The 24,083-nt window shown below is 40.3% G+C and overlaps 1 protein-coding gene across 3 annotated transcripts in view, besides 1 other annotated feature; it reads right to left on the bottom strand.

Annotated features, from left to right (window-relative positions):
* Window positions 1–1,200: an enhancer, noted in NCBI's record as "P300/CBP strongly-dependent group 1 enhancer chr12:93139520-93140719 (GRCh37/hg19 assembly coordinates)". NCBI's record gives its function as "activates an origin of replication core promoter dependent on BRD2, BRD4, P300/CBP, MED14 and CDK7 cofactors, with strong dependence on P300/CBP, by STARR-seq in HCT116 cells {active_cell/tissue: HCT116}" and the evidence as "EXISTENCE:reporter gene assay evidence [ECO:0000049][PMID:35650434]".
* Window positions 1–24,083, bottom strand: part of PLEKHG7 (pleckstrin homology and RhoGEF domain containing G7) — a 69,467-nt gene that overhangs the window by 25,512 nt on the left and 19,872 nt on the right. For 2 of the 3 annotated variants that reach the window (NM_001377329.1, XM_047428867.1), the window contains exons 4-10: window positions 17,824–17,951; window positions 14,671–14,711; window positions 10,367–10,462; window positions 9,423–9,566; window positions 5,996–6,091; window positions 5,352–5,453; window positions 1,353–1,466 (exon numbers count right to left, since the gene is read on the bottom strand). In NM_001377329.1, coding sequence (NP_001364258.1) covers window positions 1,353–1,466; window positions 5,352–5,453; window positions 5,996–6,091; window positions 9,423–9,566; window positions 10,367–10,462; window positions 14,671–14,711; window positions 17,824–17,951 — 721 coding nt within the window. Of the gene's footprint in view, window positions 1–1,352; window positions 1,467–5,351; window positions 5,454–5,995; window positions 6,092–9,422; window positions 9,567–10,366; window positions 10,466–14,670; window positions 14,712–17,823; window positions 17,952–24,083 lie in introns of all 3 variants that reach the window. The other variant, XM_047428868.1, reaches the window with a different exon arrangement.

Genomic DNA, 24,083 nt, shown 5'->3' with positions numbered 1-24,083 from the left:
TTTATGTTTTCTTCTACCAGTTTTATAGTTTCAGGCCTTACACTTAAATCTTTAATTCATTTTTATTTGATTTTTACATATGGTGAGAGATAGGGGTCTACTTTCATTCTTCTGCATCGAGATATTCAGTTTTCCTAATGCTATTTACTCAAGAGAGTGTTGTTTCTCCAATGTATGTTTTTGGTGCCTTTGTCAAAAATCATCTGGCTTTGAATATATGTATATAGGATTTTCCAAAGTTATTTGAAAACAATAGTTGGACCTTGTTAAATTAATCTCTTTCCCAGCTTGGAAGGGAGAGAAAGGAACCTGGATTCTCCCAGTTTGGGGGCCTAGCTAAGAGTGTAATCCATCAGCTTCTAGGGGAAACATTTGCAATATGATTATTCATGCATTTGGAAATCTAATGAGCTATCACCTTTCAGTTTGAGTAGCAAAAAAAACACTAAAGGGCTGAAGCTACAAAAATATGGCCAAGTCTCTTCCCTAAGATTATTCCCCTTTTCTCGTCCTTGGCACACCCAGGCTTCCTGGCATATCAAGGCTGGGGCGGAAGCCCACTGATTCACAGCTGAGTCATTGGGAACCATGGGAGCCTTTCCTCCCAAGCCTCTGAGGTCATGCTCTGGCAGGGGCTTCTCGCAGCTGCAGGGAAGAGCTGGTTTTCTGGAAAGGCTTGGACCATTTTCTCTGGATGATCCAAAAGGGCTCTGGCACAGGACTGAAAAGGTTCAGTTCAGACTAAAGAAATATCAAAGCAGGGACCAACAGAATTAGAGAAGTCAGGGGAGATAGGTTTTAGGCTTGGCTACTAGAAAATGCTGAAGGACCCTGGCAGAAAATTCTTCTTTTAATGCTGTGGGACCCAGAGCTGCCATATTGGCACAGCTCCAGAGGCAACATTGACATTGTGCTTTATACTCTAATCAAGGGGGCAGCATTCATGTAGAATACAGTGTAAATGATGTCCCAAGTTTCTATGCTGGAACTAACTCCTGCAAGAGCCAAACTTCTAAGTCACAAAGCTCAGGTTCTTACTATATAGTTTTCTCCTTACAATGTACCAATTTCTACCGCAAATAGCATAATGAACCAAGAAAACATTTTTAAGCCCCAGCCAACATTTCAGGAGGGATATTAGATAATATAATCTTTCCAGATGTGCACCATTTAATATTCCTAAGTGTGCAGTGGACAATGTATTTATGAGGAAAGCAGATTTGTAGTTAAAACATATTATTGATCATTTTGTTTTCTTCTTTCCCATTTAATTTAGATATAATCATTCCCAGTACATGTGACACCCAAAAAGCATCAGCAAAAATACAAAAGAAAAGAAAATGATACTTTACTTTTAAATAAATTCCAAAGTCATCTCTCTGCCTCAGGCTCTCAAGATAAAAGATAGCAGCTGAATAGTTCAGGCAGTAGGTCTGGTGGCTCTGACAGAGACTCCCTCGGAAATACTGCAAGAAAGGAAGAGCAGAAGGAGGATGAACACAAGTTAAGGAGAGCATTGAGCCCTGAAAGAGTGTTTCTCCTCACTTTTATCATTAACTAGAACAGGGAAAAGTGGAGGAGTCGCCATGATCAAGCAGGCGCCACAACTGCATGGAAATACAAAGGTAATCTCCACATAAACATTCTTTTAACAGAATATCGTACTCTCATAATAAACAGTTGACACCTGAATAAATAGTCTTTTTCTCCCTATACTTAAAGAAAATTCTATTTAGGCTGTCTTGATTTAATTCACCCTTTTACTTCTGTTTAAGCTTTCTTCAGGTGCCACACCCTCCAGGACACCCAGTAACAAATACTGCCTTTGATTTGGGTGACCCTGTTGGTTAATGTTAAGCTTGTATTGATAGTAAGTGATTAAAGTAAGGACACTTAACTTTTCATCTGATATGTCTCAAAAATTTCCATGCATTTAATTTTGCTGGCTTCTAAACATGTAGAAATTTTGGACATCTTGGCTGGGCGCAGTGGCTCACGCCTGTAATCCTAGCACTTTAAGAGGTGAGGCAGGCGGATTGCCTGAGCTCAGGAGTTCGAGACTAGCCTGTGCAACACATTGAAACCCCGTCTCTAATAAAAAATACAAAAAATTAGCTGGGCATGGCAGCATGGGCCTGTAGTCCTAGCTATCTGGGAGGCTGAGGCAGGATAATTGCTTGAACCCAGGAGGTGGAAGTTGCAGTGAGCTGAGATCGCGCCATTGCACTCCAGCCTGAGTGACAGAGGGAGACTCCATCTCCATATCCAAAAACAAAAAAAAAAAAAAGAAATTTGGGACATCTCTACTCAGCATACTGTATCTAGTAGCATGCGCTTTATCTTACTCAATCTAATGCTTGTCTTCCCTTTTCTTCGTTATTTTTATTTAATGTCTTAAACTTGCTATAATGACTACACATTTGTAAGCCACCTAAAATTGTTTTTAGAATAAGGCAAATTGTTAATTTATATATACATATATTCATACATATAATGGGTAAACTGAGCACACTGAACTACATGCCACCATCTCAATTAAGCGTCTTTCTTGGGAATGATGGTTATTCTTTTTCTCTTCAGCAATTCTTCTGGCTCGTTACTGGAAGGCACTCTCTTCAGGATTCCATAGTGTCTACCATGTTGCTAAGCTTATGTGTCCATTGATAGGTTTATTGATTAATATAATAACTCATGGGCTGCATTAAGGAATTTCCAATCGTATCCCAATGTGGTGAAATTGGAGAAGGAAAACACACTTACTCGTGAGTAGAGAAAGCAGACCCAGTCTGAAAAACCACTAGCAGAAGTGACAGTAACAAAGTCAGAGATGGTGAAACCTAGAAAAATATTTTGTTATAGGACCTTAGAAGACAAAACACTATAGGGAGCAATGTCAAGTTTTGGCTTCAGCAAGAAGTAATTTGAAAGATGATGTGAGTTTATTTTGGAGGGGAATATTGATAGCTGGGCCTTGAAAAGGACTTGGAGGTAAAGAGAGGGTCTTCTCATGGACACTGAGATGCTTGAGAAATGTTGGAACTAGGAGGTAACTGGTTAGAAGCCAAGATTAAGAGTCATTAATGGGGCTGGGCACGGTGACTTGCGCCTGTAATCCCAGCACTTTGGGAGACCGAGGCAGGTGGATCACCTGAGGTCAGGAGTTCGAGAGCAGCCTGGCCAATATGATGAAACCCCGTTTCTACTAAGAATACAAAAATTAGTTGGGCATGGTGGCGCACACCTCTGGTCCCAGCTACTCGGGGGGCTGAGGCAGGAGAATTGCTTGAACCTGAGAGGCAGAAGTTGCCATGAGCTGAGATCGTGCCACCGCACTCCAGACTGGGTGACAGAGCAAGACTCTGATCACCCCCACCACCCCCTCCCCCACCAAAAATAGAGTCATTAATGGTCAGGCTTAGATATCCAGTTCTATCACCCATTGGCTATATGATCTTAGCTAAATTATGTAACCTCTCTAAGCCTCAGTTTCTATCTCATTGGATGGCTCACATGTGAATAACAAGACGTCCCTATCTTCCAGCTGGTGAGCTTCTTGTGAGGCACAGGTATACTGTTTCCTGTTTATCTCTTTGCTCTTCTTGGGGAGGATGATATGTAGCTGCTCCACTGAAGGTAAGCTTGGCCATGTACTGATGAAATGTGAGCAGACATGCCATGTGTTGTTTCGGGCAGAAACTCAAAGAGCCAGTGAGTGCTTTGCCATGGTCTCCAAATGGTAATGTTCCAGGTAGTGGCCATTTCATCAGCAGAGGTCCCAGGGTCAAGACAACTTGGAAGCAGAGCATAGTGAGACATGAACCAAGCCACTGAGATTTGGAGGTCATTTGCTACCGTGGCACAACTGACTCTCACCTGGCTGATTAGAACATTTTACATTTAGGAGAAGTTTTTATAGCCCATCATTGCACATCTGTAGCATAGCGTGGGGCATTCATATGTGGGTTTATTATAGACCCTTAGTAAAGAGCCTAATAATACCCCATTCTTTAGTGGCCTCTAAGTATACTTACATGTTTTGATGAGAAGCTGACATTTCTCCAGAATATTTACTAAAAACTAAATTTGGGCCAGGTATGGTGGCTCACTCCTCTAATCCCAGCACTTTGGGAGGGAATTCGAGACCAGCCTGACCAACATGGTGAAACCCCATCTCTACTAAAAATACAAAAATTAACTCGGCGTGGTGGTGCATGCTTTTAATCCCAGCTACTTGGGAGGCTGAGGCATGAGAATCTCTTGAACCTGGGAGGTGGAGGTTGCAGTGAGCTGAAGTCGCACTACTGCACTCCAACCTGGGCAACAGAGTGAGACTGTCTAAAAAAAAAAAAAAACTAAACAACAAACAAAAATATCCAAAGATTTTCTTACTTAAGCCCATTTTCAATGTTCACTAAAGGATCTTGCAGCTTATTTTTGCCTTGTTAAAACTCTTCCTTCTTCATGTATCTTCTCAAGCATCATATCCCCAGGAAGCATTTCCTATCTGTGACTGCCCTACTATGCATCCCAACTTACAAGGTTTCCTTTGTTGGACACTCATTATATTTATGTTACTCCTTTTCCCCAGCATTTATCTTACTTTGATTATATAATCATTAGTGTCATTATTGGATTAATTTCTCCCCTACAAGACTTACAATTTCTTAAAAGCAAGGCGCTTGTTTAATTTTTCATATTATTGTGTACAGGGTATTGGCTCCATACATAGCACTTGGGAGGTTCTCAGTAAATCTCAATCTATCTTTTTCTCTTAAAAAGTGGAGTGTAAAAATTCAAATCTTGCTAAATGAAATTAGATTAAAATTAGATTAAAAACCTCAAAGTAAGAAAAGTAGGGGAGGATGTCCAAATGTCTACTCAAGAAATAAATAACATTGATCAAACCCGGGGTACAGGTTTTCCTCTTTTCTCATTTCACCCACAGAAATATGATCAAGGGTGTTGATGGATTTGAAGGTTTATTCTGTTTCTTTCTGAGAAATTGGTACTTTCGTTAAAACAACTGAATTACGTAATTAGCAAACACTAAACTATTGCCGTGAATGTTGCTTTAAATTGAAGCCACTTAAAAAACAGAATTGGAAATGGCTTTTCTATGCATGCAGATTTCTGTGTTAATAAAACCCACACAGGAGATGTGGCAATGGGAAAACAGAATCTGCAAGTTATTTTTGAAAATGTTGACTGGCAGAGAAAGGGACAGTTCCTTTGTAGGAGAGTGGAGGTAGAACTTTCCCAGGGAGAATTAAAATCAAGTAGGGTATAAACAACTGTCCTGGGAGGTGGGTGATTTTACTACATGAAGCTGAGGTCTCCCAGAAGGAGTTTACCTTTGTGAGCACGGAAATAAAATCCAGTGATGAGGAAATCTCAGAAGCGTCTACATAGTCCTTGATGATGCCAAAGAGACTGTTCACAAAACCAAGGCTTGTCTAGGGACAGAGAGAAAGAAAACAAAAATAGGCACACACCCAGGGTTAAGGAATAAACATTTGTTGAACTTCAAGTATCATTCTTACAGGTGTTTCCCATTTCAAATATATCTCCTAGAAAAATTCAAAGATTTATTTCCTCCACTCTCCAATATATATTTTCTTATAAGTATTTCTTATAAATAAATTCTTGTTATCTCTCTTCCTTTACTTTTAAGAGGAAAAATATTATTTATTTATAATGTATGCGAGAAGAGGATATTCATTTGAAAATAAACATTTATGAAGATGATGGAGATCTTAGGAATGTGTTTACTTTTTAAAATAGCCATGGAAAAATGACAAATAAAGGGTAACTAATATCTACAATTTATGGGAAAGGCATAATGGATATTTCAACTTCTTTCTTATTAACCTGAAGTCCTGACTGGGAATGGAATATGGAGATGTATTATGGCATACAAGCCATAAGAACAGACCAAGCATGAATTTTCATGGTCCTCTAGTGAATGTTAAAACATGAATCTTCCTACTTGGCTCACCTGAGTTAACTCCTCCAGGTTTGCAAAAAGTCTCCATAAATCCACATCTAGGAGATATTCATGAGTTTGCAGATATCTTAGTGTATTCATAAAGATCTTTGAAATAAAAAATATATACACATTAATTTCTGTTTTTTAATTTTGCAACATGCCTTTTGCAAGAACTTTAAACATAAACCTCCTGGGTGTAACTTTACAAAACAATGGAGAAATCAGCACTCTCAAGGTTTAAATGTTATACTCAAGACAAATGGTCACATTTAAGCTTCAAAGAACATATTGGAAATGAGCTTTTCAGTATGAAAGTTGTGGTTGCTTATGTGAATTCTAACAACATTCCTATTGAACATAATCTGTCCAAATGGGCTTCCTCTACTTCTAGTGCCAAAGAAATCCCAAAGATTCTCTTCTTGCCAACAACACTACTAACTTGAGAGCAAAACAATATTCATGGTGTATTCTCATATGCTCTTTCTTCTGCAAAAGACCCAAATATACTTTACTTTCAGGGAATTAAAAGTAGATATTTAATGAGTTAATCTCTGATAACTGGTAAAATGTTTCAGTTTGTTTAGAGGCATTAAACATGGATGAAAACATTGAGGGAGTTTTTATGTTATTTTCACTTAATTTGATGATTTCACAAATTGGAGAACTATACAGCAAGTCAAAAAAAAGTACAATCCTCACTTACAGATAGCCTGCCCTTCATTCTATAAACTGAAGAGAGATCAATTTATTGAAAAAGAAATACTTTGTATACATAAGACAGGAAGCATTCAAAGGGACAAAAGGACAAATTATTTCAAGAATTTTAGGGGTTAAAAGACTGGGCTTTAGATAGATAACCTTCTCCAATTCCTATTCCTGTATTATTTCATTAGTGTAATGAGTGGTTCTTGAACTTGCATCGGAATCACCTGGCAACTTTGTTACACCAGAGCTTGCTGGGCCCCCACCCTCATCTGTGACGGGGTCTGAGAACATGCATTTCCAACAAGTCACCAAGGGATTCTGATGCTGCTGGTCTAGAGGCCACCTGTCAAGAACCACTTAGACCTTTTAAAATCCATGGAGTATTGGTTGTCTGGAAATTTGTCAATATCCAAGCATTTAAAACATGATTGTAAGAAACAGAACTCATTACTACAGATAGATTAGGACAATTTGGAAGAAATACTACTTTTGCTATAAGATTCTTTGCTTTACAGAAATTTTGCTATTTAAAAAAAATACTGAGTCTTCCAGTATATTTATTATATGAGTTACAAATTTTTAATTCATAAGCACTTTTGGAAAACATATTGATTGTGTAAAAGGAAGGTACATATATACTTTAAATACACTGAGGTATTTGACAGTGAGCTCAAATTGGCCTTTTCTTAAACAGGAAATGTCAGTTTGAAAAGCTTGGACAGCTTACAGTGGGATAGAAAGTTCTGTGCAGTTTCTTAGGACAAGGAAGGTGGCATAACTCAGGGGCTTCGTTCTCTGCGGTGAACATTTATTGTTACCACCCCCTGCAATACTCCCCTTCCCTAAAAACAGCATGGTTTTCACCTCAGTGTCTACTCTTCCCCAGGCTGCACATGTGCCATGTGGCAAGCTGATCTCATTCCCAGGGGTGGGCCTTGACTGCCTTAAGCCAATTGGCACATTCCTTCTTTACAGAGCTAGAGGATTTGGCTCACGGGTGGGCACGTGATCTAAGCCAGTCCAATCAGAATAAATCTCAAGACTTCTGCTATGAATGCTGAGAAGATCTCTCTCTCTCTCTGGCCATTAGCTCAAGGATAGCAACCAGGCTGTGACTACAAGAGAAGCCAGCCATAGGATGTGGCTAATGCCATGGAAGGCAGGGTGAGAGATGGGAAGAAATGTTGTTTTGTTTTGTTTTGTTTTGTTTTGAGCCCTTGATCAAACATGCCTTGAATTCTCTCCCACCTCTGAACTTTGCAGTCACATGGACTAATAAAATCCTGTATTATTTAAGCTAGTTTTCTATTACGTGCTCTTGTAAGCATCCTAACTGATATTGTCTCTAAATTTCAGTTTTCTCCTAGAGTGTCTTTGCGGTTCACATTTTGCTAAGTTAAGGATTTAGCACTGTGATTGACAAAAAATATTACTTACAGAAAATAACTGACATTTGTATAGCACTTGATAGATTTCAAAGAAAACTAATTTGATCATCATAATGGTCTTATGAGATAGCCAGGGATGGTATTGTCATTTCTCTTTTACAGCTTAGGACAAGGACTGTCAAAGTATGCAGCCTGTGAGCTTAATCTGGCCTGCCACCTGTTTTTGTAAATGATGTTTTCTGGGTGACAGTCATGCACATTCCTTTAGGCTGCTTTTGTACTGCAATGGCAGAGTTAAGTGGTTGCAACAAAAACTATATAGCCTGAAAAGCCCAAAATATTTACTGTCTGCACCTCTGCAGAAAAGATTTGTCAACCCCTGGTTTAGGGTATGAAGGACTAGACTTTTCTAAGGTCACAAGGCAAAACAGAGGCAGAGCCAGGGCTTGAACTCAGATCTGCCAGCACAGTGCCTTTTGGCTGTGTAAGACAGTCACCAGGATGCAAAAGTGCGGTGGGCAGAGGCAACCTTGGGAGCTGTGTGGCCCATCCTCCCCTGTGGTCCTGGGAGGAAGCTGCTCTATGGTTCTCTTCCTTGCTCTATTGTTCTTCTAGAAAAAATTCTGTGTTCTGAGCCTCACCAGAGCATGGCTGCGACCATAGGGGTGCTATTTACATGAAAGACATCATGAATATACCATGTAATTCAACAGTACTAAATTGCATGTGGGTGGTAGCCCCCTATATCTGCAATGGTGGCCCTGCAGCTGATAAAAAGCATTCACCTGGTACTGTTCACGAGGGAGCAAGAGCTCCGAGAGAGAAAGCCGAGCAAAGATGCAATGGACTGCCTGAGAAGGGTGTAAGCTCCCTGGCTCAGGAGTGTGCAAACTGGTGAGACAAGGCAGAAGAGATTCATTCAACATCGGATGGGACACTGGACTAGTTCACTTAGACGATCTCATCCAATGTTAAAGTATAAAGAGACAGTAGAGTAATAGGTAAACAAAAATAAATGACAAATAAAAATTTTCACGATCCCCTGAAAGAGGGAGAAAAAAGCCTCACCTGGCCTCCCGTTCCCTCTCTTTCCCTTCCTTCCTTCCTTCCTTCCTCCCTCCCTCCCTTCCTCCCTCCTTCCTTCCCTCCCTCTTCTTCTCTTTCTCTCTTTTTCTTTTCTTGTCTTCCTTCCTTTCCTTCCTTCCTTTCTTTCTCTTTGTCTCTCTTTCTCTTTCTTTCTTTTCTCTCTTTCTTTTCTTTATTTCTTTCAGAAGAGGAAAACAAGTGCCCAAAAAAACAAATTAATATTTTCCATCTACTACAAAAATTAAGCCTGGCATTACCATCTTAAGAACTAATAAATGGTCCAAAAAATAGGTGCATTCACTTGTGAAAAGTTCCCACACGGCCTCTTGCTGCTTTTTCAGGTCTAATTGATCGGTCGGGAGTTTGTGATGTGTTTCCAAGACTTCATCCCAGGTCTTATCCTGTACATGAGGGAAAAAGAGAGAACAAAACATTTCCACCTCAGTGGATTGACCTGTTGGCTATTTGCTTTGGCTTGCAGTTCCAAAGGACCAAGCAACCCCCGAAATCATGATTTCCTGCTTCAGACCCTGGGCATCCCTCTTGACAGTGACTCCCCAAGTGACCCAAGCCACAGCTTCTCTCTGTGGGGCTCCGGGATGCCAATTCCTCCTAATATGCAGCATGAAATGCACAATGTGCATTATTTCTAGTTTAAGATTCAAATCAATTCAGATTGATGATGTTTTGAATTATGCTTGAGAATATCATGAGTCTTTTTCAGTTTATTGACAAAAAAAACTCAAAGAACCCTAAACCCAGGACTGGGAAGTCTGATTCCAGGTTCCGTTGGCAAAACTTATTGAAATTAACTACTGAAGAAGCATGAAGTGAGAGCTTTAGAGTGCAAAGAGACCTTTAGAAATTGTCTTATCAAAAACAACTTAACGTTTCAAATGAGGAAATCCAGGCCCAGAGAGACGAAGAGTAGTAACACCCACTTTTAACATTTGTAGAGGCTTCCTGGCCTATGAAGTGCTCTCACATTTGTTACCTTATTTAAGATAAAACGACTTTCCCCAGCTTTCAGTGTGTTTGAGGAGAGCAGGCCCTGCTCAGTCCTGGGTTCCTCTCTTGCATTTTGCTCTTACTATAAACAAGGCAGTAATCTGGCAGCTTAAAATACTGACCCGACCTTCCCCACCCCACCAAAAAACGAAAAGAAAAAGTCAAACCCCATAGTTAACAGTTTGAAAGATACCTTAAGACCGTAGAAGTCATAGCCCCTGAAGCTGGTAATTTTCACAGAGGACAGGCAGTTTTCCAGATCAGATATGTGCTTGTGTTTGTCTTTGCCCTGCTCGAAGATGGTTAGAAACAGGATTTTCAAACATTGATTCTTTAATGACATGACTTCGGTAGCCTTGGCATCTTTCGTTCATTCCCTAACATTCATGATAAGAGATGGCATATTTTGTCTTTAAGCCACTAACAGTTCCAAAGCCATTTCTGAGCTCTAGTAGGAGCTGCAGAACCACAGAATGTCAGACCTGGGGGACACAGGCCCGTGAGACTACCTTGTCCAAACCTCTCATTTTACAAATTAAAAAAAAAAAAATCCTAGGCACAGAATGGTCATATAGCAAACAGTCTTATCATGCCTACCCATTGGGGTGACATAGCCTTCACAGTCTTAACTTTTCCAAACTCTGGACCCTAAGATTTATTAACATCAGAAGGTACCTCAGACATATTGGTTCAACCCTTAATTTAGCAGATGACAAAATAAAGCCCAGTGTTCAAGCGAGTTGCCCCAAACAATAATTCTCTGCTACAGAATACCAGAATATGCTGGAAACTCTATTTTCCTTAGAATGGAATCACCCACTTATTTTTGTTATAGTCATTTTTTCTTAATAATATTTGTTTAAAAAATCTGATTTCTAAGATAATATGTTTATTGTAGAAAATTTGAGAAAAAACAAACAAAAAAAAGCATGAAATGTGTCTTCACCCCTATATACCCATTGGAAATATGGTATTCTGATCATATTCATAATTAATTTTTAAATGGTATAATGTACCATATTTACACATCCTTTTGCAACTTGCTTTTTAAGCTTATATTGTGAACATTTTCTTTTTAGTTCATTCACTATTCTATTGCGACATCATGAATTGCCCACTTAAAGAGTTCATTTTACCAACCAAAGCAGGAAGAAGCTATCAAATAACAATGTGCAAGGCTTTTAAAAGTCAGCTTGGCTGCATTTCAAATGAATGTTTATCACAATTTTTCAACTTGTTCTATTGCCTCAGAGTGCACGATATTGGCATGGATCTAAACAGTTTTGTGAAAGTTAATCAATGTTTTTTTCAGGAGCAAGAGAAGGCACAGGTTATCTGCTGTTGCAGGTAGGGGGCTCCCTGTGTGCTGAAAGGAGACCGTGTCATAGTTTCAGAATGTGCTAATGGGCTGTGGCTGGTTTCTCTGGTAGGGTTATGGCACTGAAAGAGGAAACCTATTGTAGACTCATTAGCCTCCACAGCAGCAAAGGAATCTTGGAACCAGTTAAAGACCTCCTACTGCAATTGGGACATATGCCTTTTGTTGATGTCTGAAACCATAGTGACTGCATGTTGTGGAAATAAAAAATCAGCAGCCAGTTGGAAAAGAAAGAGGCTGAGACAATGGAAGCAGCATTGGAGTTGTGGGAAAGTGAGTGCCAACCCCGTGTTTTGAAGGGCACTCACCATGGCTTTCTATGGGTTTGACCAGCCTCCTGGCCAAATGGCTGGGTGGGTATTCCAGTGAGGGGAGAGGAGACCATTCTCCCAGTGGTCACATTAACTCTTGAAAACGACACACCCATTTAGTACCTTCTTGCCTCCATTGTGGTGGCAGTGGTTAGGAGAGGCAATGAGAAGCATTTGAAGGTTACGAGAGAGGATACACAGGGTAAAGAAATCGAGAAGCCAAGGTTAATTCTGGAGTCTCAAACTTAGTAACTAAGAGGTAGGTGGCATGAAGATGTACAGTAGTCATTGGTGACATGGAACTGGAGCAAAACTGAAGGTTAAGACTGAATATATAAATTTTTGGAGTGGTTGACAAATCAATGAGAAAAGGCAAGATCTATGGAGAGCTCTAATGAGAGAATGGAGGGAGGAGTTTCCAGGTCTGGTGATGGGGACTCCTACAGTTGAAGGAACAGGGCCACATCAGGGGTAGAACAGACTCAAAGCCAGACTGCCTGGAACTGCTGCATGCTCCATAGCTTATGAGCTGTGTGTCCTCAGGCAAACTAGTCAAACTCTCTGAATCCATTTCCCCATTTTCAAAATGAGAAGTAATAATGTTACCTACCTTGTTGGATTGTTGTAGAATTTATGAGTTCACATGTGTTAACTGACATGCATAAACAAGAATACATGCAAACAGTAACAGTACCTGGTAATGTGCTAAACGTTATAGAGGTGTTAGCTTTTATTACTAATATTATATTGATGGTTGGGAAGAAAGGAAGGAGGAAGGGAAGAAAGGAAGGAGGAAAGGAAGGAAAAAAGGAGGAAAAAGAAAAATCTCTAAAGATTGGAAAAGCACATGACAACATAGAAGTATGTTTGTTATATTGATGTGGATTACCATTTATAGAGATATGAATTACATGATAAATAAGGCTAAGAGGATAAATGAAAGAAGAAGACGTTAATTTTAAGAAAACAGATATTGTGTTCTTGTGAAAGTGAAGCTTCTAGAAATGACTTTCTCTTCATTGCTGAAAACATTTGCTGAAAACGTCCACTAATTATTCTTCCTTTGTGTATCTCCCTCATTGCTTCCCTCCCTCCAACATAGTGCCAACCATTTAGCATGTTTTCCTCCGCCACCCACAGTTTACTTGTCAGTCCCATCTTCTCAATTGTGAGCTGATAATGGACATCTTGGCATCTTAGATATCTGTCCCAGTACTTGGCCCAGTTGCTCAACACATGTGTGTAGAACAAGTTGCTTCTTTTTGGGGAAAAGAATGGATCAATCCCAACAACTTGTAGTAGTGTCCCTTCCTTGGCCAAGTTCTTCCCTTCTGAAAGCATATTCTATCTCTCAGGCAGCCCTCAGAGCTTCCCTGTCCTAGATAAGCCCTCGGGAGGGCTAGGGGGGAGATGCCCCTTCTCCTGAGACCTCAGATGTGATTGGTGACCAGCTCTGCCTCTGTTTATTCGAAGAAAGAGCTCAGGAGGGGCTGCATCATAAGCCTTGTCTCAGATCTGTCAGAAAAACAGACAAAGCACGTCTCTAAATGACTGATGAGCAACAGCCCTGGTGGCAATGGTGTTACCATTTTACTAACAATTTAAGATTTGCAGCTCATAATGTTTACAGTATGTTCCATATAAACGTTTTATTTTTGGGAAAAAAAGTGAAAGTCAATCATACACTTGGCTATGAGAATAAGTTGTTTTCCAAACCCTAATTAAAGATACTACTACTAGTGATACGGCCAAGATTGACTGAGCGTCTGTGTGTGCTCAGCTCTGGGGTAGGCTCCACTTGCATTATACGGCATTCGTTACAATCACCCTGTGAGGCTGGCACTGGTCTTCTGCCTTTTATAGGGAAGATCTGAGTTGAGGGAGAGTAATCCATTTGGCCAAGGTCATAGGGCAGTAAGGGAAGCAGCTAGAATTAGAACTTCAGAGGGCTTTTTATTTAGCGATGGGACTTAAAAAATAGCAAGGTGTGTGTGTCCATAGAACCACTGCAGATGTCAGCAACTGATGCCAAACTGATTGGCAAGGCCACGTGGGCAGATTTTTAACAGAATGAGGCATAGTAACAGTCCATAAGGCCCCGCTGCTGCTGCTGGTCGTGGTGTGTAAGTAATGCAACTAGTAATGCTGGGAGAACACAAATCAGTCCCTTTTCTCCCCCTAGAAAACAGGAGTCAGGTTGTCATCATGAACATTCCCTCCCTCTTCCCACAGCATGCCAGAAGGAACGGCTTGACTGTGGCCACCCTTGTCTTAGGCAGTAAAGTCTCAGGGACCGCTGATTGAGATGGATAACTCGTCAATTATTGATGGAGCCAAGAATGAATTTAAACCCACTAGGATTAATCCAATTGGCTTTCCCAGAAATAGAAGTGTATTTGCAGAATCTGTTTCTGTAAGATCTCATTCATTTTTCAATGTTCCCAATATACACGACACTAACTGCAAACTGGGGCATACATTTGTGCAAGTTTGCTTCATCGAGTGAGCTGCTTTCTAAGCAGCAAGTTATAAATTTAGTGTTGTAAAGCATCACTATATTAGGATTGCTTTGTGTTTTTTTGCAGAACTAATTAACCACTGGCAATTAGCACTGTTTCGCTGCACAAATTGGCACCACTTGGCATGTTCCGTAGCCAATACTACGGATGTGATGATATCATTTATATTTCACGTGCCATCTGCCTTTATACAAAGATAAAGCAGAATGAAGAGACTCTTCAGCCATTTCTTACTTTCTTAGCTACAGGAAGCTTAATTAAAACAAAAATGGCAATTTGCAACACTTACCACTCCTCTTTTGGAGAAAGGCCATCTTGGCTTTTTGGATTCTGGGTGAAATTAAAGACAATATATTATTACGAGTACTTAGAGTAACTAGCGACAGATCATCGTAGTGCTTTACAAAACCTGCTTTTTGAAAATTAGCCAAACAGAATTCATCCTGCTTTAATTCTCTTTCTCTTGAGAATGCACAAAATGAATATTTATATTTTTGCAGACAAGTGAATGAAACAATGTTGCAACCTAAAAGTTGGTGTTCTGTTGCTGCCTTAAGGTGGTACTGTCCTGTTTCTTTACTGGTGTATTATTTAAACTCTTTTTCCTCATTGCTTGAAAGGAAATCTATAAACTGTACTGAAGATGTTGAGTAATTTATTTAAGACAGGGAGCCAAAGCACTCTGGGGCTAAAAGGACAGGCCCTTCATTTTCACACCATCTTTCCAGAACGCCCCCATCACATGCAAACTTCAATAGCTTGAGCAAATGGGAGACTTGGAAACTGCATTCACTCATAATCCCCAGATGTGGTTAAATGAAGACTCCCAAAATAGGGAACATTAAAACATCACCCATGTCGGGGCTTCTTGCTACTGGCCATCTTCTAGGAGTTGCTTTGACTTGAGAAGGAAGCCGTTATTCAATCCCTCATTATTTGGAAGACCAGGAAGGAAAGAGATTCGATTGGATTCTAGCCTTTTGAATTTTATGCTGTTTGCATAAAGTTGTAATGCTACCTAGCCAAAGCTGAAAATTGTCTCTTAGGTGTGGGTGGCATGTTCTGACCATTCAGCATACAAAATGGATGTCTTATACGTCCATCTCTCTCTCTATCAGATCCCCCAGGAGAGTGTGCATAATAATTCAATCAAAGGGAAGCAATGAACTGAGCAGCATTTACTGCAAAGGATGTGCTTAAGGCACCTTCCCACTGTAACCTTGGGAGGCACCTGCCCAACAGATTATCCTCTCATTCATTTTGACCAGCTTATTGATCTTTATTAAAGAGAGATTAGGTGGACTCTCCCTTAGGCACAAATCAGCTTCACCACACTTAGATTTCACATGCCTGGCAGTAAATTATTACATCCAATTTGAACTGCAATAATTGGGGTCCCTGATCCTTGGCCAATTTCTCTCCTGTGCTTTTCTAGCTTTGGAGCCTTGGGAAAGCTTTGTAAATATTCAGAAGATTCATGAGTCCTTATTGAATCCACAATCTTTCATTATCTGCCTTAAATATACAATTTTGCTAAGCCAGAATCTTTATTTCAACTATATCTGCAGGTGACTCATATGCACAGCAAAGCGTGAGCAGCACTGCTTTAGACCGTGACTTGGGAACATGAGGCCTCTATTCTAAACTCCTGAGAAGAGGGCAGAGGGGTATAGGGAGGAGGCTGCTTATCTTTTGCTGTGTGGTATCTACCACGATGCTAGGCACACACAAAAATAACAGCTAGTGAGATGTAGAAGCAGCGATGAACTTGTTCCTTAGCATGTGGTTCTCAAACTGTAGCCGGCATCAAAATCACCTGCAGAACTTGTTAAAAAAGACTGCTGGCTGGGCACAGCGGCTTGCGCCTGTAATCCCAGCACCTTGGGAAGCCAAGGCAGGTGGATTACCTAAGGTCAGGAGTTCGACACCACCCTGACCAATATGTTGAAACTTCGTCTCTACTAAAAGTACAAAAAAATTAGCCAGGCGTGGTGGTGGCCACAGAGTGAGACTCTGTCTCAAACAACAACCACCACCACCACCACAACAAACAAAATGGACTAACAGACTGCTGGACACCACCCCCAGAGTTTCTGATTCAGAAGGTCTTGGGGGTGGGCAGCCTGGAATCTGCATTTCTAACAACTTCTCAGGTGATGGCAAAGCTGCTAGTTCGGGACAGCCTTTGAGAACCACTGTTGTAGTTGTTAACTAATTGACAGCATTCTAAAGCCTCTTAAAATGTAGTAACCTCTGTTAAGGCCACATTGTGTTTAGAACTAGCTCAGATTTCTAGGGGCATGTCCTCAAGCAGATCACTTAATCCCTCTTGGTTTGTTCACTTGGATTACTGTATCATATAAGACAGTAAGTAGATGTGAAAGGCTCTGTAAAAATAAAGAGCTATAAACATGTTAGTTATGATGTATTCACTGGTGGTCCTGGGCTCCACGTACAGGAGACTGCAGCTGCCCATACAATAGATGACAGATGATAACAGATGCAGACTGGTAGAGAGGGCACTGGACTCACAGTCAGGAGCCTTGATTCCATTTCTCTGCACAAACCAGCTGACCCCATGACTAGGCCACTTCTCCTTTCTGGGTCTCACTCACACATATGTGAATGAGGGATGACCCTGGTGGTTTTTAAACTGTTTTGTTGGGTGTCTGAGACTCCTGGGGATGCCTTGGAGGTGAGTCTTTGGGGCTCATCTCAGCTGCAAGCATTGCAACTTCACCTGGATTTGTTTTATACATTGGATTTCCAAGCAAGGATTCTTTTGTAAAAAGGACTCTGCTAAGAACTAAACCAGTTTAAAAACCACCAGCATGGATAATCCTTAAGTCTCCTCTTAGCTCTCAAAGGCTTTGATTTACCTATCCCCAGAATCTTGAAGAAAACACTCTGAAGACCCTAATTGTTCTTTTATTTCACAAATGAGATGAAGATGCAGACGCTTTATCCCTAAAGCTGCCTGTCTATCAGACACTCATCTGCCACCGGCACCTCTGCCTCCCCATGGTACCACCCTGGTTGGAAGATATCAGTGTGAGGCTGAAGCCCAGGAGTGGGGTGGGAGATGAACATGACAGCAATAATGGGGAAGCTACTCACCAGCCTAGAGAGGGCACTCTGATCTAGGATGCTGCACCTGTCTCAGGTCTTGGGCCTGGGATAAGACATTTGGCCAGAAGACATTTTAAGGGAAGAACCATACCTTATTCATCTCTGTAAATGGAATGCCCAATACCAAGACTGGTACTCAGCTGGTTCCCGTAATTCCAGTAACAGCTGGTGCCCGTTGTAATTGGTGAGGCTGATTGTAACAGGTCAGTGCATATATTCTACTAATTATTCAATATTTTGAAAATTCCCCCTGGTTATGGCAATATCTGTTCCACAGTGGGCATGGAATGAAAGTATACTGAATGAACAGAACCTGAATTCAGCAGCAGAAGTGGATGGCATAGGTAATCAGCAGCTCCATCTGACACCAGAAGGTCCCCGGGGAACACCTCAAGTCCAGGTAAGTTCAGCACCACAGAACTCCGCCTGTGCTCGTAGAACCTGTGCTCAAGAGATAAAAGGAAAACCACACCGAAATATCATCTTAGACCACTCAGAATGGCTATTTTTAAAAAGTAAAAAAACAACAGATGTTGGCGTGGTTGTGGAGAAAGGGATGCTTATAGTCCATTGGTGGGAATGTGAATTAGTTCAACCTCAATGGAAAACAGTATGGAGATATTTCAAAGAACTAAAAATAGAACTACCATTCAACCCAGCAATCCCACTACTGACTATCTACCCAAAGGAAAAGAAATCATAATATAAAAAAGACACCTGTACACATGTTTATTGCAGCACTATTCACCATAGCAAAGTCATGAAACTGACCTAAGTGTCTATCAATGGTTGATTAGATAAAGAAAATGTGGTATATACACACACATATAAACACCATGGAATGTGGTATGTGTACACATACACACACCATGGAATGTGGTGTATATATATATTTATATATACACCATGGGATGTGGTATATACATATATTTATATATACACCACCATGGAATGTGGTGTGTATATATATTTATATATACACCACCATGGAATGTGGTGTGTATATATATTTATATATACACCATGGAATGTGGTGTGTATATATATTTATATATACACCATGGAATGTGGTGTGTATATATATTTATATATACACCATGGAATGTGGTGTGTATATATATTTATATATACACCATGGAATGTGGTGTGTATATATATTTATATATACACCATGGAATGTGGTGTGTATATATATTTATATATACACCATGGAATGTGGTGTGTATATATATTTATATATACACCATGGAATGTGGTGTGTATATATATTTATATATACACCATGGAATGTGGTGTGTATATATATTTATATATACACCATGGAATGTGGTGTGTATATATATTTATATATACACCATGGAATGTGGTGTGTATATATATTTATATATACACCATGGAATGTGGTGTGTATATATATTTATATATACACCATGGAATGTGGTGTGTGTATATATGTGTATATATATATATACACACACACACACACACACACACACACACACACACCATAGAATACCATGCAGCCATAAAAAAGCATGAAATTGGCCAGGCGCAGTGGCTCATGCCTATAATTCCAGCACTTTGGGAGGCCAAGGTGAGCGTATCATCTGAGGTCAGGAGTTCGAGACTAGCCTGACCAATATGGTGAAACCCTGTCTCCACTAAAAAAAATACAAAATTAGCTGGGCATGGTGGTGCATGCCTGTAATCCCATCCACTTGGGAGGCTGAGGCAGGAGAATCGCTTGAACCTGGAGGTGGAGGTTGCAGTGAGCCAAGATCACGCCATTGCACTCCAGCCTGGGCAACAAGAGCGAAACTCTGTCTGGAAAAAAAAAAGCATGAAATTATTTTCTTTTCAGCAACATGGATGGAGCTGGAGGCCATTATCCTAAGTAAACTAATCCAGATGCAGAAAATCAAATATCACATTCTCTCGCTTATAAGTGGGCACTATACAATGGGTACCCATAGACATAAAGATGGAAACAATAGACTCCAAAAGTGGGGAGGGGTGAGGTGGGAGGGAAGTAAGTGTTGCAAAATTAACTATTGGGTACAACATTCAATATTTGGGTTATGGGTACACTAGAAGTCTGATCTCCTCCATGATGCAATATACCCGTGGAACAAATATGCACATGTACTCTCTGAATTAAAATAAGTTTTTAAAAAGATGCAAGGAGAGATCTTAGAGCTGAATTAGGCAGGTTCATGGTTCAGACCACCTCTGGTCATGCAGAATGGCTGCGAGCTGCCTGCTGCCACTCTGTTAGGAAGGACTGGGAGGCAGGGGAGGGCTGTGATGACAAAAACTCCCCATACATCTACTCACCACCTCTTCCAGCCTTACTTGCTGTTTATGGTTTTGACTAATCCAAAGCAGAAGAGCTCACGTAGACATGTCAACGCAAATGCACCCTGCTTGTTCTGACTCAGGATACTAGGAAAAAGACCTCAAACACAGAAGTCTTTGCAAATCATGCATACTGCCTCAGAAGGCAGCAGGATCCATGGGGGTGATCATGGTTCCCCGATGATCTGAAGCTGGTTGTTTAAAGTCAGCTACTTTTATTTTTCCCAGAGAAAAATGAGAAATAGTGTTAGAAAAGTTCATCACACAGGACTATCTACCTTCTCCTTTCCTCTGCCCTTCTCCTTTCTCCTACCTTCTTCTTTCCCTTGGCCCATTTCATGAAATGTGTCTGTAGGATGTTCACAAAATAAATGGGTGATGTCACAGACACAGTAGGGAACAGTGCCAAAGCCACCAGGTATTTGCTCAGTGATCTCTAAGGAGCAAAATTGGTCAGGCTGGTAAGGGGTCTGTCGTGCTGGGGACCTGCCTAATAACATGGAACTGTAGGGACTCACAGTTTTCTCATCAGAATTGTTCAGATATTCCTTTGGTCTATTCTAAGGGACAGAGATGCAATTTCTTCTGTTTACTGACCAATGTAATCTCTATATTTTCACCAACAAATAATAGTTAGCATATATACTTTACATAGAAAGAAATTTGTCTTGATTTACCAACAAAAGCATAGCTATGAATTGCCTGGAAAGTTGAGAGACCAGGTTTGTCACACCCTTTTGGATAGGGTGATTTTGTCTATTGCCATCTAGCACTCTCCCACCCCCAAAGTGGCTGTGCTTGGATCCCTGTTAGTCTCCCTATCCCAGTCCTTCCTCTGCTCTTTCCATTTTCCTACCTAGCTGCTGCTCAAGTCCTACCAGGCTCTGCAGCCAAGTTCCATGGTTCTGACATTCTATATGAGTGTCAGCCTTTCTGCCTGCACTTTCGTCTCTTGCCTCTTAATTGCACATTCTCGGATCCCATGCCCTCTTTCTTGTCAATATGTGTAATGGTGGAGTGTATCATGCCCTATTAGGTTCATCATGCTGCTGATGAAAACCAGTGTATATTAGCATATCCTGTGGAATTAATTATAAATACTCATCCCCAAGTCCCACCGTGGAGATTCTGATTTAGTAGATCTGAAGTGGGCTTCTGTATCTGTATTTTCACCCTGCTCCCTGGATACTCACCACAACTAGAGAACAATTACTTTTGAGGTTATAAGTAACTTGATATAGGCTTTTCCTACTTTTAGGTTTTGAGTATTATTTCACGTTTTTAGCCTTTGCCAAAATTTTTTTCAAATCGTTTTACTTATGAATAGTAGAACAAGTTGTTTAGGAATTTATAATTAGTGGTTAACTTATATCCCATAATTTTTTACAAAATATATGAAGCAAGGATGCCTCAGACTGTTCAGATACAGAGTGTAGACACAAAATAAAGTTCATTTTCAGTTATAAAAGGCTGCTTCCTCCAAGAAGTCTTCCATGATACTCAAAGGAAATAATTCTTCATATTTGTGCACTCCTCCATGTCTCCACCAGATCAGGGCCTCAACATCTTCCAATTGTATTAACATGGTCGCCTCTTACCTTGTTTCTCCGCCCTCCTTTTTATCTCCTTGATTCCATCCTATAATGGTCACTAAAGGTGAGTTATCTAAAATTTAAGTCTGAACCTTCCCTCCCTGGCTTAAGACACCTCAGAGGATTCTCATACCAGATAAACACATTTTTAAAGCACAAACACAAGCCTTCCGTGATCTGGCTCCATTTACCTGCCTGATATTCCTTACTTTGCAATTTGATCTCTGGAAATAGGGAATGCATTGTAATTCCCCATACAAAATGGTGCTTCCCAGCTTGGTGCTTTGGCTGGGAATGTTTTATCCCCTAGGTGCCTTCCCCAAGTCTGTCTAACTCCTAGTCATACTATGAGATTCAGGCCCATGGATTATCTGTGTTAAGGAGATAATCACAAAGGGGCAAGTACTTAAGTAACACTGGGCTCAGCTTTAGTCAATTGTCTATATTCCCTGGGGTTTTGTAATCTGTTTCACCTGCCTTTTCTCTGCTCTTCTATTTTTTTTTTTAATCAGGAAACTTTAGGAGAATGTAGTCATCACTGTTATTGTAATAATAGATAATGTGCCAACTCAATGTGCATGCTCTTTCCTTTTCTTGCTATTAAAACCCTGCTTTGTCTGGGATGGTATGTGCTGAGGTCATAGGCTGACCTGCTCTGACTCTCTTGCAGCTACTGAAGGCCATGTGACCCAAACCTGGCTGATGAGATTTAAATGGAGGCTCAAGCATGTGAATCCTGGAAAAAGTTTTTCAAAGGGGACAGACTTAGCTAGCTTCTTCTGTTTACTCCTTGTCCTTTGCCTTCTTGCTGTTCGGAATAGATCTTGAAACCTGAACATATATCACAACTCTTGCAAAGACAACAGCAGAATAGAAAAACAGGTGCCTGGGATCTTGTTATGTTACCCAAAACCCTCTCTTTCCTTGCTAAAGTCATTCTAGTTGGGTTCTGTGACATCCAGGCAAATGCTATCCTTACTGACACAGATCTCTCATCCTGGATTCCTCCTCCAAGGATGAGGCCATCTTTCAGCATTCTACGGTCCTGTTTGACTTTTTCTCTACTTTATGATTTGATTTTATAAGAAGATCATTAGGGCTGTGAGTTCTTACAACTTTCCTTTTTTGTTTGCCAACTCCATGTCAATGATAGTTATAAGGATGGAGGGAACTGAATTAGGTGGGAGTTGAGAAAGTTAAAATAATTTGAATGAGAAACATAATTCTACCTTCATCATATTGCATACAGGACACTGGGATTGACACATAATGGATTAGCAGTGTACAAATCCAGCCAGAAAGTTTTATAATGGTCTTCAGAAGGTATTACATAACATAAAATGCTGAGTGCTCCGAAAAAGAAGACCCTGAAGAGAAATGTCAGAAGCTTCCCCATCAACTATATAGGTCTCTTGATAAAAATCTAAGAAGCATATAATGAGATTTTAGCATTTAAAGAGGGCGGGGATTGAAAAAGTTACAATAATTTGAATGAGAAATGTAATGTAGGGGAATTTTTGGGAAAAAAATGGACTATTGTGAGCTTGAACTCTAGATGTATACACTCTAGTATCATTAAGTTTGGTAGTTTCCCAAGATTCTATAAACTGGTTTTCTATTCCCCGGAGACCTCAGAGAGCGTGTAACTACTGTTGGGGTGGAAGGATTCATCTTCCCCAACCCCTTCTTGGATGGCTTCTGTGTTTCTGTTCCATGCTTCTATAGTCCTCTGGAGTGGTGGTTAAGAATGTGGGGTCAAATTTCGTGGATTTTAATCTTAGCAGTGTGACCCTTGGTTGAACAACTTGAGTAACCTCTCCAGTCCTTACTTTGCCATTTGGGAAATGCAGACAATAATAATATTGTGTGAGGATGGGCTAAATTAATCAATATAAAGCACTTAGATCAGTGTCCAGAACTTGGTAAGCAGCCAATAAATGCTATTAGACTGATTATTGAATATATTATAATATCATGTTTTATTTATGTGTTTTTTCCATTAGACTGACACTCTTTAAGTACAAAAAACATGTCTTATAATCATTTGTGTTGGTAGGTGCTAATTTAGAACTTAATCCATTGTTGCTGATGAATATGAATGAATGAAACCATCTTCTCTCATGAAAAGTATCTTATGTTTTGTAGATTCATGTCATATTTTCCTTATCACCCTTAGGTCCAGCTCCTGGTCTGAATTCCTCTGTTTAGCAAGGGCTCAGTAAACATTTGTTAAGTAAATGGAACAATAACCCAATCCACATATACTCAGAGTGATTGATCATTGCCATTTCCCTACACAAACTCCTGCAGAATGTGTACTCCAAGAATAGCTAGCTGTGTACTGTTCTTTAAACACACTGTGCACTTTACGCCTCCATGCCTTGGCTCAGGTAGTTCCCATCTGCCTGCCTAGCTGTACTTTGTCTGCCTGAAAAACTTGTATTCATCTTTAAATTCTAGCTTAGACACTCCTCCTCCATAAATCTTTTCCGACCCACTCAGGGAGGGACAATTCTCTCTCTTCCCTTCCCTTCCCTACTCCTACCTTGTCTCTTTATAATAAACACGTTGAAGATTCATACTGGATCTTATATATCACCGAATCTAATCTGTTAGCATGGAATCT

This window comes from Homo sapiens, chromosome 12 (genome assembly GCF_000001405.40).
Source record: "Homo sapiens chromosome 12, GRCh38.p14 Primary Assembly".
In the NCBI taxonomy this organism is placed as follows: Eukaryota; Metazoa; Chordata; class Mammalia; order Primates; family Hominidae; genus Homo; species Homo sapiens.
This window is presented reverse-complemented; position numbering and strand designations above follow the sequence as displayed.